Genomic DNA, 13,035 nt, shown 5'->3' with positions numbered 1-13,035 from the left:
GCCTCAAACCTCTGGGCTCAAGTGATCCTCCTGCCTCAGCCTGCCAAGTAGCTAATTTTTTAATTATTATTATTATTTTTTTTAGAGATGGGATCTCACTATGTTGCCTGGGCTGGTCTAGAACTCCTGGCTTCAAGCGATCCTCCTACCTCAGCTTCTCAAAGCACTGGGATTACAGGTGTGAGCCACCACACCTGGCTACCTTTTTTTTTTTTTTTTTTTAAGTTTTACTATATATATATAGGTATATATTCCTAAACAATATAGGATATTCTTCTACATGCTTTTTTTTGTTTTTGTTTTTGTTTTTTTTTTTTGAGACGGTCCCACTTTCTCGCCCAGGCTGGAGTGCTATGGTGCGACCTCAGCTCACTGCAACCTCCGCCTCCTGGGTTCAAGCGGTTCTTCTGCCTCAGTCTCCCGAGTAGCTGGACTACAGGCGCACGCCACCACACCTGACTAATTTTTTTTTTTTAAGACCGAGTCTCACTCTGTCGCCCAGGCTGTAGTGCAGTGTGGTGCGATCTTGGCTTACTGCAACCTCTGCCACCCGGGTTAAAGTGATTCTCTTGCCTCAGACTCCCTAGTAGATGGGATTACAGGCACCTGCCACTGCGCCTGGCTAATTTTTGTAGTTTTAGTAGAGATGGGGTTTCACCATCTTGGCCAGGCTGGTCTTGAACTCCTGACCTCGTGATCCACCAGCCTCGGCCTCCCAAAGTGCTGAGATTACAGCTGTGAGCCACGGCGCCCAGCCCTAAGTTTTGTATTATTAGTAGAGATGGGGTTTCACCACATTGGCCAGGCTGGTCTCAAACTCCTGACCTCGTGATCTGCCTGCCTCAGCCTCCCAAAGTGCTGGGATTACAGGCGTGAGCCACTGCGCCCAGCCTGTGCATTCTTTTAAACTTCATTTAGGTATTATGCTGTGTTTATCATCTGCAGTTTCCTTTTTTCATTCAAGGTTGAGATCCATCCATGTTACTTGCATAGCATAATTTGTTCATTTTCGTATCCATTTATATGATCATGTCTCAAGCTGTGTATCCATTCTGCTGTCAGTGGTTATTTGGGTTGTCCCCTTGTTTTTGCTGTTTCAGACAATGCTGTTATGAAAACTGTTTGTGTCTCCTGCACATGCACATGTTCAAGAGTTTCTCCCAGGCAGTGGTTCCCAAACTTTAGCTGCCCATCAGAATCACCTGGAAGGTTTGTTAAACCTCAGATTGCTGGGCTCCACCCCCAAAGTGTTTGATTGTGTATGTCAGGGTTGGGGCCCTCAGAATTTGCACTTCTAACAACTTCTCAGCTGATGCTGCCACTCTTGGTCCTGGGACCTCACTGAGAATCATTGTTGTAGGGTTTACACAGAAGTGGAATTGCTTGATCAGAAGGTAATGGCAGATTGTTTTCCTGTGTTTGTGTGAATTTACACAGCCACCAACAGCATATGGGTTTTCCATTACTTTACCTCTTTGTTAATACTTGATATGGTCAGACTTAAATTTTTATGGAGCTGGTGGGTGTGAGATGGTATCTTGCGGTTTTAATTTGCATTTCTCAGATTACAAGTGGGGCTGTGAATCTTTTCTTACATCTGTTGGCCATTCATGTTTCCTCTTTGTAAAATGTTCAAGTCCTTGCTCCATTTCCTTTTGATTTGACTTTTTCTTATGGGTTTGTAGGCTTTTAAAATGTATTTTGAATACTAATACTTTGTCTATGCATGTTACAAATATAGTCTTTCAGTTCTTCTGCCTCAGCCTCTTGAGTAGCTGGGATTAATTTGTTCGCCGGGCGCCACCACACCCAGCCTGTTTATTTTATTTTATTTTATTTTATTTTATTTTATTTTATTTTATTTTTTATTTTGAGATAGAGTCTCGCTCTGTCGCCCAGGCTGGAGTACAGTGGCACGGTCTTGGCTCATTGCAACCTCCGCCTCCCAGGTTCAAATGATTCTCCTGCCTCAGCCTTTCAAGAAGCTGGAATTACAGGCATGCACTACCACACCCAGCTAATTTTTGTATTTTTAGTAGAGACGGAGTTTCAACATGTTGGCCAGGCTGGTCTCCAACTCCTGACCTCAAGTGAGCCTCCATGCCTGGCCTCCATAGGGTGTTAAAGGCTGTAAATTTGAATTATTTATGACTTAAGTTATACCTAGAGCTTATTGTATATACTGTATTAATATTTCTTTTTTTTTTTTTTTTTTTTTTTTTTTTTTTTTTTTGAGACAGAGTCTCGCCCTGTTGCCCAGGCTGGAGTGCAATGGCATGATCTCGGCTCACTGCAACCTCTGCCTCCCGGGTTCAAGCGATTCTCCTGCCTCAGCCTCCCAAGTTAGCTGGGATTACAGGCATATGTCACCATGCCTGGCTAATTTTTTTTATATTTTTAGTAGAGACGGGGTTTCACCATGTTGGCCAGGCTGGTCTCAAATGCCTGACCTCAGGTGAGCCACCCACCTCGGCCTCCCAAAGTGCTGGGATTACAGGCCTGAGCCACCGTGCCTGGCCTACTGTATTAATATCTCATAATGAACAAAGGTACCCTCTTTGGGAAAAAGTTGGGGCTTTTTTTCCTTTTTTCTTTTTTAACTTTTCAATTGATTCTCAAAGCCAGCATGTGGGAGAGAGTTTATCAAAACAGCCAGGCATCATGGCGCACGCCTGTAATCCCAGCTCCTTGGGAAGCTGAGACATGAGAATTGCTTGAACCCAGGAGACGGAGGTTGCAGTGAGCTGAGATCATGCCATTGCATTCCAGCCTGGGCAACAGAGTGAGACTCTGTCTGCAAAAAAAAAAAAAATACATACTGACCTGTGTGTGGGATTTGCTTCAAAATACTACTGGAGTGAGAGATAGTGGTTGGGGAACAGATGAAATCAGATTGGCACCAAGTTGGTACTTGTTGAAGTTGAATGATGGGTTCGTTTTATTCTGTCTACTTTTGTACATGATTAAATATTATCATAAGAATAAGTTTAAAATTGGCCAGGTGCAGTGACTCACACCTGTAATCCCAGCAGTTTGGGAGGCTGAGGTGGAAGGATGGCTTGAGCCCAGGAGTTGGAGACCAGCCTGGACAACATAGTGAGACCCTGTGTCTCTCAAAAAAAAAAAATTAGTCATTTGCAGTGGTACACACCTGTAGTCCTAGCTTCCTAGCTACTTGGGAAGCTAAAATAGGAGAATCTCTTCAGTCCGGGAGGTTGAAGCTGCACTGAGTCATGATTATGCCACTGCACTCCAGCCTGGATGAGAGTGAGACCCTGTCACAGGGGGAAAAAAAAAGTTAAAAATATCCAAGGACTATTTCCAGGGCTACTTGTGAGGTAGCACATCTTTTCTTTTTTTCTTTTTTGAGACAGAGTTTCGCTCTTGTTGCCCAGGCTGGAGTGCAATAGCGCGATCTCCAGCTCACCGCAACCTCCGCCTCCTGGGTTCAAGCAATTCTCCTGCCTCAGCCTCCCGAGCAGCTGGGATTACAGGCATGTGCCACCACACCCAGCTAATTTTTTGTATTTTTAGCAGAGACAGGATTTCTCCATGTTGGTCAGGGTGGTCTTGAACTCCCAACCTCAAGTGATCCGCCCGCCTCAGCCTCCCAAAGTGCTGGGATTACAGGCGTGCGCCACCGCGCCTGGCAGAACATCTTTTCTTAACGTTTTGTTAGCCATTTGTATTCTTCAGAGCCAATTTAGTCTCCATCTACTTTCAGGAGTTCCTGATAAAGTGGTCTTAGCAGGCATGGAAGAGACTGATTTTAAAGAAAACAGGAGAGGGAGTGGTAAGGAAAGACTGGGGAGGGGATTTTCAGGCGGTTGCCAGCCCTTCTCCTAGAGCCTGACTACTACTGCCTCTAGGATTAAGTTTCCTACCTTCCCTTGTTTCTTCCAGGACCACCATGGGATAATTTTTATTTTCTTTCTTTCTTTTTTTTTTTCTTTTTTTTGTAGAGACGGGATCTCACTATGTCTCCCAGGCTGGTTTCGAACTCCTGGTCTCAAGCAATCCACCCGCCTCAGCCTCCTGAAGTGTTAGTAGGATTACAGGCATAAGCCACTGCACCCAGCTGTCTTTCTTCCTTCCCTCCCCTCCCCTGCCCTCCCCCTCCCCTTCCCTCCCTTTCCCTTCCCCTTTCTTCCTTTCCTTTTCTTCTTTAATTATAGAGACAGGGTCTTGCCACGTTGCCCAGGCTAGTCCTGAACTCCTGGCCTCAAGCAGTCCTCCTGCCTCGGCTTCCCAAAGTGCTGAGATTACAGGCATGAGCCACTGTGTCCAGCCAATTTTTATTTTAATGGTATTCTTCTTTCCCTATTATTTTACCTGGACAGACTTAACCCAGAGGATAGAGGAACCTCATCATGGATCCTGGTCCGCTTTTAGCTTAACAGCATCCAAAGACAAAGGGTCAGAGATGGTAGCAACCCTAGTGTGGTTGATTACACAGTAGTGGTGTTATTTTGTTGTCATAGGATGCAAATATCAAAGTTGTATCTCTTAAGATCTTTCTGTGTCAGTACATAAAAGCTTTCTCAGTCTTTTTAATGCTGCATAGTATTCTACACAGGGCACTATTCTATACTTTAACCAGTTCCCATTGGTAGACACATTTTTTTCCAGTCTTTTGCAGTTATAATAGTGACACTCAATGAATAGCCCTGTATATTTGTCATTTGGCCCATATATGAATACAGTATATCTGGGGGGGATGAATCCCTAAAAGTGGAATTACTGGGGCCAAGGGTATGTGTACTTGGGATTTTAATAGGGTTAGTTAGCCTGGGCCCACAGCAGTGGGTACCAGTTTACAGGAGAATCTTTTTTCTTAACACCCTTCCACCCAAGTGGAGAGTTTGGTTCAGCACATTTCTTTTTCTTTTTCTTTCTTTTCTTTTCTTTTCTTTTTCTTTTCTTTCTTTTTTTTTTTTTTTTGGAGACAGAGTCTTGCTCTGTCACCCAGGCTGGAATGCAGTGGCACGATCTTGGCTCACTGCAACCTCCACCTCCTGGGTTTAAGCAGTTCTTCTGCCTCAGCCTCCCAAGTAGCTGGGACTACAGGTGCCCACCACCTTGCTGGGCTAATTTTTGTATTTTTAGTAGAGACAGGGTTTTGCTATGTTCGCCAGGCTGGTCTCAAACTCCAGACTTCAGGTGATCCACCCACCTCAGCCTATCAAATTGCTGGGATTTACAGGTGTGAGCCACCGCGCCGGCCATCAGCACATTTCTTGAGTGCCTTCCTGTACCTGGCCCTGGATATAAGATAAACACTTTCATGTATCAAGTGAAATTGTTACTATTTGCCAGGCACCAGCACATTATCTGATAATCCTCATAACTACTCAAAGAGGAAGGCTTTTAGATGAGATAAGTGAAGCTCAGAAGGGTTAAATAGGGTGCCATGGTCATGGTCCAGCTATTAAGTGGCAGAGCTAGGATTAAGCCCAGGTTTCAATCCTCTGATGCCTGTGCTCTTACAGTACACCTTTACCTGCCTCTCAGGAGGAAGAACATATGGTCTTATTGTCTAATACAGATAAGGAATCAGGCTCAGAGAGGGTAACTGGCCACAAAACAGCCAGCCTGGAAGCTATGAGGAACCCACATATGTCTGATCAGAGGTCTCTGGTCTACACTGAGCTGCCTGCCTCCCTCCCGGGGAAAGAGTTTGAGAATTTTCTTTTTTTTTTTTTTTTTTTTGAGACAGAGTCTCTTTCTGTCGCCAAGCTGGAGGAGTGGAGTGGCAATCTTGGCTCACTGCAACCTCCGACTCCCGGGTTCAAGCGATTCTCCTGCCTCAGCCTCCTGAGTAGCTGGGATTACAGGCGCGTGCCACCACACCCGGCTATTTTTTTTTGTATTTTTAGTAGAGAAGGGGTTTCACCGTGTTTGCCAGAATGGTCTCGATCTCCTGACCTCGTTATCCTCCTGCGTTATCCTCCTTCCTTTGGGAGGCCGACGCCTCCCAAAGTGCTGGGATTACAGGCGTGAGCCACCGCGCCCGACCGAGAATTTTCTCCGTTCAGAGCTTCACTTGCTATAGAGAGCCTCAAGTCACTGGTTCTCAGTGTGCATCTATTGGCCATCAGAGGGTCCTTTAGGGATGACCCATCTGTGCTTAATTTACTAATGACAGTATAGTTGCTGCTATTTATTGAGTGCCTGCCATGTGCAAGATGCTGTAAGGTACAGTGTAGTTTGTTTTGTTTTGTTTTGTTTTTGTAGAGATGGAGGTCTTGTTGTCTTGACCAGGTTGGTCTCAAACTCCTGACTTCATATGATCCTCCCTCCTGGACCTCCCAAAGTTCTGGGATTACAGGTGTGAGCCACCAGACTCGGCCAGTGTAGTATTTTTAATCTTCACAATAATCCTTCTTGGGAAACATGTTATTGTCCTCATTGTCCAGATTAGAAAACTGAGTGTAAAGTAAGTTAAATTATAGTCCTAAGGTTGAATGCTAATAAAGACAGAATACAAGTCCAATATATTGGACTCAAAAGCCCTCACTTAACTATGGTCTCCATGGGCTTCCCTTGGCTCTCTCTGCCTTTTTTTATTTTTTCTTATTGCTTGAGGCCCTTTCTGGAAGGTAAGTCTGGATTATCTACTTCACACTGTTTTAGAGAAGACTTGTGGTTTCCATTTACCCCTTACTCCCTCCGCTCCATGGCCTTTCAGGGAGAACACTGTGGGTATCATGCTGGGTGGCCTGGAGGGTCCAAGTAACAGGAATCTAGAAGGATGGACCAGATGTGAACAAAAGAAAGCCTGAGTAGGACACAAAACAGAGAAGTGGGGCTGTAACATCTCTAAGATATTACAGCTTGCTACTTCCACTCTCTTTGCAAATGTGGTGAAACCCAGGCTGGAGTCATAAAATAATAGCATAGGATCATTAACTAAAGTTTGTCTAGTGCTTCCTTGTGTTCACACATTATCTCATTGAACCTCTGACGATGCTAGGAGGAGGTAAATAGGGTTTTCCTCTTACCTTGGGTGAACTGAGGTCTTCTGACTAAGTCTCAGGTCCTTTCTACCATTTGTGCTGCATCCACATCTCTACTGGGAAGAACACAGGCTCTGCAGTCAGACACACCTGGGTTTGAACCACCTCCATTTTGTGTGTGTTGGATCTTGAGCAAGTGAATTCACCTTTGTGACCATCCATGTCTTCATAAAATAAGAATTTTAAACACACATGAGGGCCTGGCATATACAAAACATTGAATAAATAGCAGTGATCTTTTTATTGACATCAGAAGGGGGTTGGGGACCCAGAGGCTATTTGGGCTCCTATGGCATAGCTCTTGGAACGTGTTAATTTTCAAGGACAGGGGTTTGCAAGTCAGAGCAATGTCAAGTAAAGAACAGGTTCTTTGGGAGGCCAGGATATGCTAATGGGTGAACAATGTAAGGGAGGCATAATAATAATGCCAAAGGCCTCCTAGAGTACCTGTTCACTGCACTTTTGGGTCTTTGGTTTATATATGAAGAAAATGAGGTGCCCCCAGAGGGGAAGTGGGTTGCCATTGTTACACAGTAAGTTAATAAATGGCATTGCTGAGATTAGAACTCAGTCTTTTGTCTGCCAAGAAAGCTTACTTTTCCCTTACACTCCACTGCTCCCTTGAGGGGAAAAAAAAAGGGCCCGGAGATAGGATCTTAGTGCTTTGGAACTGGAGAGAAAGCCTTAGAGATCATCTGATCCATCCTCCACACTTTTCAGATGAGAAAAGTGAGGCCCGTGGTGCTTAATTGACAGGACCATAGCCAAATAGAGCCACCACAAAGCAGGAGTAAGCTCACGTTTCTTGAACCTGACCATGTGGAACTTTCAAATTGCCTTTTTTCTGTGCGGAACTAGAGCCTCACTGAAAATACCAGTGGTTTACAATAAGAACAGCTGTTTAGTTTGGGGAACATTTTTCCAAATAGAATCTTCTTTTTCTCTCTTTCTCAATTCTTTTTTTTTTTTTGAGATGGAGTCTTGCTCTGTCACTCAGGCTGGAGTGCAGTGGCACGATCTCAGCTCACTGCAAGCTCCGCCTCCTGGGTTCACGCCATTCTCCTGCCTAAGCCTCCCGAGTAGGTGGGACTACAGACACCCGCCACCACGCCTGGCTAATTTTTTGTATTTTTAGTAGACGGGGTTTCACCGTGTTAGCCAGGATGGTCTTGATCTCCTGACTTCGTGATCCACCCACCTCGGCTTCCCAAAGTGCTGGGATTACAGGCGTGAGCCACCACGCCTGGCTGTCTTTCTCAATTCTTAATAAAAATATACTAGAAGAAGAAAAAGCTTTAATGGAGGACCTTGGTAGAAAGCAGGTAAAAATTATATAGAGTCTCTAAAATCTAGGGAGGTCCCCAGAGCCAGTAAATTTAGAGGCCAGCCTTCTCGCCTATCCCAGCAAGCTTATCACTTGTCTTGCCCTATTCACAACAGGCCTTCAGAAGGCCCAGCCTTCCCTTGGCAGCTGCATGTGGTGAACACCAACGGAAATCCCTGGTATTTTTCTTTGTATGCAACCAACCGTGGAGATGTAGGTCAGGCATTGCTGGCTTGGCAGTTACAACATCTCTAGCTTCACCCCTGCACCTGTAGCCGTGTTCACTAAGCCCCTCAAAGATGGGAAATGGATGGTCCCTTCTTAATAGGGTTTGGATCCCCGAGGGCTCATATGGGTGGAGTGGGTTTGGGAGGAGACAGACCATCCGGAATGTGGAGATGAGAAGGGTAGATCTGGCTCTTCCCTCCTTAATGTCTGATGTCTGGTGTTACTATAGCTGGATTGGTGGTGCTTCTGCTCAGCTCACCTTAGAGTAATCATCACTGACGGAGGAGACTGGGGAGGTCCCATCCTTCCCCTGGGCTCAGCTGGGTCCCCAGACCTACACCTGAACCCCACGCCTGTCTGGTGTTTACGGATTGAAGCTGCCACCCTTTGGGACCTATCCTGTTTTCATTTCTGCTCTCAGCTCTCTGGTCTCTGTGGACCTCACTTACAGGTTTGTACGTGCCTGTCACCCACGGTGCAGCCCCATGAGGCTCTCCCAGCCTGGCACACTCATGCCTCTTTGGCCTTTGTTCTCTTCAGGAAAACTGCTAGCTCTATGCCTTGCTAGGGAGGGCTTTTCTGGCCCCTCAGATAGGTTCTTTTGGTCCAACCTAGCTATACCTTTCCTGAGATTCAGTCTCTTTGTCCACACCCTGGGGGACAGGGCTGTGGTTCCAAGGCATGTTGGGGGGTACCTGTGGGCCATTCTGGACTGGCTTCCGGTCAGCTGGCTGACTCTGCCCTGGGTCTCAAATATCTCCTCTGTAAAGGTGTTAGACCAGGATCTTCAAGGTAACTTAGAGGTGATATGCAGATGGACATTTTCTGTTTTAATAGTCAGTGTATTTTATGTTGATTTCCATCTGGGGCAAATGATACTCTTTATAGGAAGAATAATAAGTTGCCTTTTCATTGCATTTATTTATTTAGCAAATATTTGCTAAGTGTCTACTATCTGTCAACCACTATTCTAGCTACTGGGGATACCTGCCTTCATGAAGTTCACATTCTTTTTTTTTTTTTTTTTTTTTTTTTTTTTTTTTTTTTTGAGATGGAGTTTCACTCTTGTTGCCCAGGCTGGAGTGCAGTGGCGCAGCCTCGGCTCACTGCAACCTCTGACTCCCGGGTTCAAGCGATTCTTTTGCCTCAGCCTCTTGAGTAGCTGGGATTACAGGTGCCCGCCACCACACCCAGCTAATTTTTGTATTTTTAGTAGAGACGGGGTTTCACTGTGTTGGCCAGGCTGGTCTTGAACTCCTGATCTCAGGTGATCCACCTGCCTCGTTCTCCCAGAGTGCTGGGATTACAGGCGTGAGCCACTGCGCCGGGCCATCATGAAGTTTACATTCTAAGAGGACAGAGAGTGATTAGGTGGCCGGTGGTAGGCAGCTTTTGGTATGTGTTTGCCTTTTTAATAAAGGATAATTAAGGAAGGCCTCTGAGGAGCAGGCATATGAGCAGAGATCTGCATGATCTGTCTGAGGGAGGAAACCATGTAACAGTCTATGGAAAAAACATTCCAGACATAAGGAACAAGTGCAGAGGCCAAAGGGTGGGAATGGTGTGCCTGGCATGTTTGAGGAAGAGCACGGGAGATCAGTGTGGCTAGAACAGAGTAAGCAGAGGAGAAGTGATTGGAAAGGAAAGTTTGTGTGAGCAGTGGTGAGACATTTTGGTTCTTCCTCTGGGTGAGATGGGAAGGCAGTGGAGGGTTTTGAGCAGACAGGAAACTGACTTTGCTGACCCCTCTGGCTGCCATGTGGTGAAGGAACCATGGAGTCGATAAGAAGCTGGGAGACCAGTAAGGAGGCTGTTAGGACAATACAGGCAAGAAATGATACTGGCTTGGACCAAATAATAGCAGTGGAGGTGGTGGGAAATGGTGGGACTCTAGATAAATTTGGAATACAGATTCATCAGGATATATTGACAGATGAGTGTTAGAGGGGATTTAAGGATGAGAAAGATGCAGAAAGAACAGGTTTAGGGAATAAATTGAGAATTTTCAGTACATGTATTTAAATTTATAAAAAGTAAGTAAATTGATAGAATAATGTTAAGTAGGCCAGGCACAGTGGCTCACAGCTATAATCCCAGCACTTTGGGGGGCCAAGGCGAGAGAATAGCTTGAGCTCAGTAGTTCAGGACCAGACTGGGCAACATAGTGAGACCTTATCTCTACAAAAAAAGAAAAAGAAAAAAAAATTAGCCAGGCATGGTGATGCACACCTGTAGTCCCACCTAGTCGGGAGGCTGAGGCAGGAGGATTGCTTGAGCCTGGGAGGTTGAGGCCTCAGTGAGCCTTGATCACACGATTGCACTCTAGCCTGGGCAACAGAGTGAGACCCTGTCTTGAAAAGAAAAATGTTAAGTAAATAATAACAGAATCACATATAAGGTCAAAGCAGTGATGGCTGAAATTGTGGATAGAGTGGACCAAATGTGTCTGTGCTGCCTTCCAGCTCTAAAATCCTGCTTCAGTGATTCAGACCACATAGTCTCCCATTCACAGAGAACAAGAACTTGAAGCTCAGCCTAGAATAAGCAGATAAAGTGACAGGAGAGCAATCCTTTGGACCAGGCCTACCTCCTGTTAATTTGGAAGGACTTGGGAAGTTCTTGCACATATACTGGCCTTCTGGCATTACCTTATTTATTTATTCATTCATTCACTCAGTCAGTCAGTCAGTCACTGAGCACCTTCTGCCTAGTAGGCCCTGGACAACGGCAGCTCTGATGCTTCTTCTCTCCTAATATAAAGCAAGCTACCCTGACCCCCGCTCCCACTGGAGCCTGTCTACTCTGTGGCCTGGCATATGCCTGGCGGTAATGTGTGTGCTGAAAGTGGAATAGCCACAGCCTAGGCAGAGCCCTGCCCTCCCTTTGCTGCACTGTCTCTGTCCATCTCTGCCTTCCTCATCTTATTGCCATCCACACTTTGAGGCCTGGTGAGCAAATGATTTTGCTTCCATGAGAGCAGCAGAAATAGTTGCTTTATCTCTTTCTTCATATAGGTCCTCATAGTTATCAAACTGGAAAGAAATCCCCAAGGGCCTCTTCTCTCGCCTTTTATAGATGGGAAACAGAGGGCCAAGAGGGCAGGCAACTCCCACAGTCCACATCTAATTCATCAGCAAATCCTTTCAGCTCTACTTTTATTGATTGATTGATTGATTAAGAACAGTATCTTGCTGTGTCTTCCAGGCTGAAGTGCAGTGGCGCAGTCATGGCTCACTGCAGCCTCAGCCTCCTGGGCTCCAGCAGTCCTCCCACCTCAGCCTCCGGAATAGCTGGAACATGCCATCACGCCTGGCTACTTTGTGTCATTTTTTTGTAAAAATAGGATTTTCCCATGTTGCCCAGACTGGTCTGAAACTTTTGGACTCAAGCAGTCCTCTCACCTCGGCCTCCCAAGTGCTGGGATTGTAGACATGAGCCGCTACACCTGGCCCAGCCTTACTTTAAAAAATAAATTCTGAAACTGACTGCTTCTCACCAACTTCCCTGGCACCATTGTGGCTAAGCCACTGTCATATTTTCCTGATTATCTCACCAGACCCCTGGAGATCTCCACCCAGCAGCCAGACGGACGCTATTTAACACCAAGGTCAGGTCATGTCCTTCCCCTGCTCAAAACCCTACAGTGCTTTCCCAGGACAAGCCCAAGTCTTTAAATGGCCTACCAGGCCCCACACAATCGGGCCCTTGGCTACCTCCAGATCTCATCACCACCAGTCTCCTCACATTCACTGGACTTCAGCCACACTGGCATTTTTCCTGTTCCTGGAGCACCTCAAGCGTGTTCCTGCCTCTGGGCCTTTGCACTTGTTCCCACAGCCTTTTCTCAGATCTTTGCAGTGCCTGTTTCCTCATTTCATTCAGGTCTCTGATCAAATTCACCTCCTTAAGAAGTTGTCCCTGACCATGGATTCTAATCTTACCTTCTTCCATGTTTCTCTGTACCCCCTTTCTCACATTTATTCTTTCTTAATGCATCACCGTCTGACATGTTTATTGCCTGTCTCTTCCCATTTGATTATAAACTCATACAGGTACGAATTTTCATTCTATTTAGTCACTGCTTTATCCCCAGCGCTTAGTACAGTGCCTGACTCTTAGTGGGCACTTAATGAAGATTTGTTGAATGACTGAGTGTCCAAAGCTAGGGAAGGCAGCCTGTCTGGGCCTTCCTACAACTCCATAGGTCAGCCTGGCTTACAAATAGGTCATGTCCCATCTTAGAAAACTCATCTAATAGCTTCACCAAAGCTACGTGGCATCACTTTTGTTTCCAAGATAAAGATCAGACAGAGGGAGGAACTCTCTCTGCAAGTACTGTCCTTGCAGATCTGGCTTAGGGGAAAGTGGGTTCATCACTGAGTAGCCTCAGCACACTCTTCCCTTTCTCACCCCTCAAGGCACCCAGGGAACCAGGGGGGAATGCTACTTCCATGTACTTAAAGTCAT

At 45.8% G+C, this 13,035-nt stretch overlaps 1 protein-coding gene and 1 long non-coding RNA gene across 15 annotated transcripts in view; one reads left to right on the top strand and one right to left on the bottom strand.

Annotated features, from left to right (window-relative positions):
- The window catches only part of BCL2L1 (BCL2 like 1), a 59,512-nt gene that overhangs the window by 30,578 nt on the left and 15,899 nt on the right, over positions 1-13,035 (top strand). The window lies entirely within an intron of this gene.
- Positions 1-13,035, bottom strand: part of BCL2L1-AS1 (BCL2L1 antisense RNA 1) — a 41,737-nt gene that overhangs the window by 23,459 nt on the left and 5,243 nt on the right. For all 4 annotated transcript variants that reach the window (NR_187575.1, NR_187576.1, NR_187574.1 and 1 more), the window contains one exon: positions 7,002-7,180. This is a non-coding gene — a long non-coding RNA (BCL2L1 antisense RNA 1). The remainder of the gene's footprint in view (positions 1-7,001; positions 7,181-13,035) is intronic.

This window comes from Homo sapiens, chromosome 20 (genome assembly GCF_000001405.40).
Source record: "Homo sapiens chromosome 20, GRCh38.p14 Primary Assembly".
NCBI classification, from domain to species: Eukaryota; Metazoa; Chordata; class Mammalia; order Primates; family Hominidae; genus Homo; species Homo sapiens.
The sequence above is the reverse complement of the archived record's forward strand: the minus strand, read 5'-3'. Positions and strand labels throughout refer to the sequence as shown.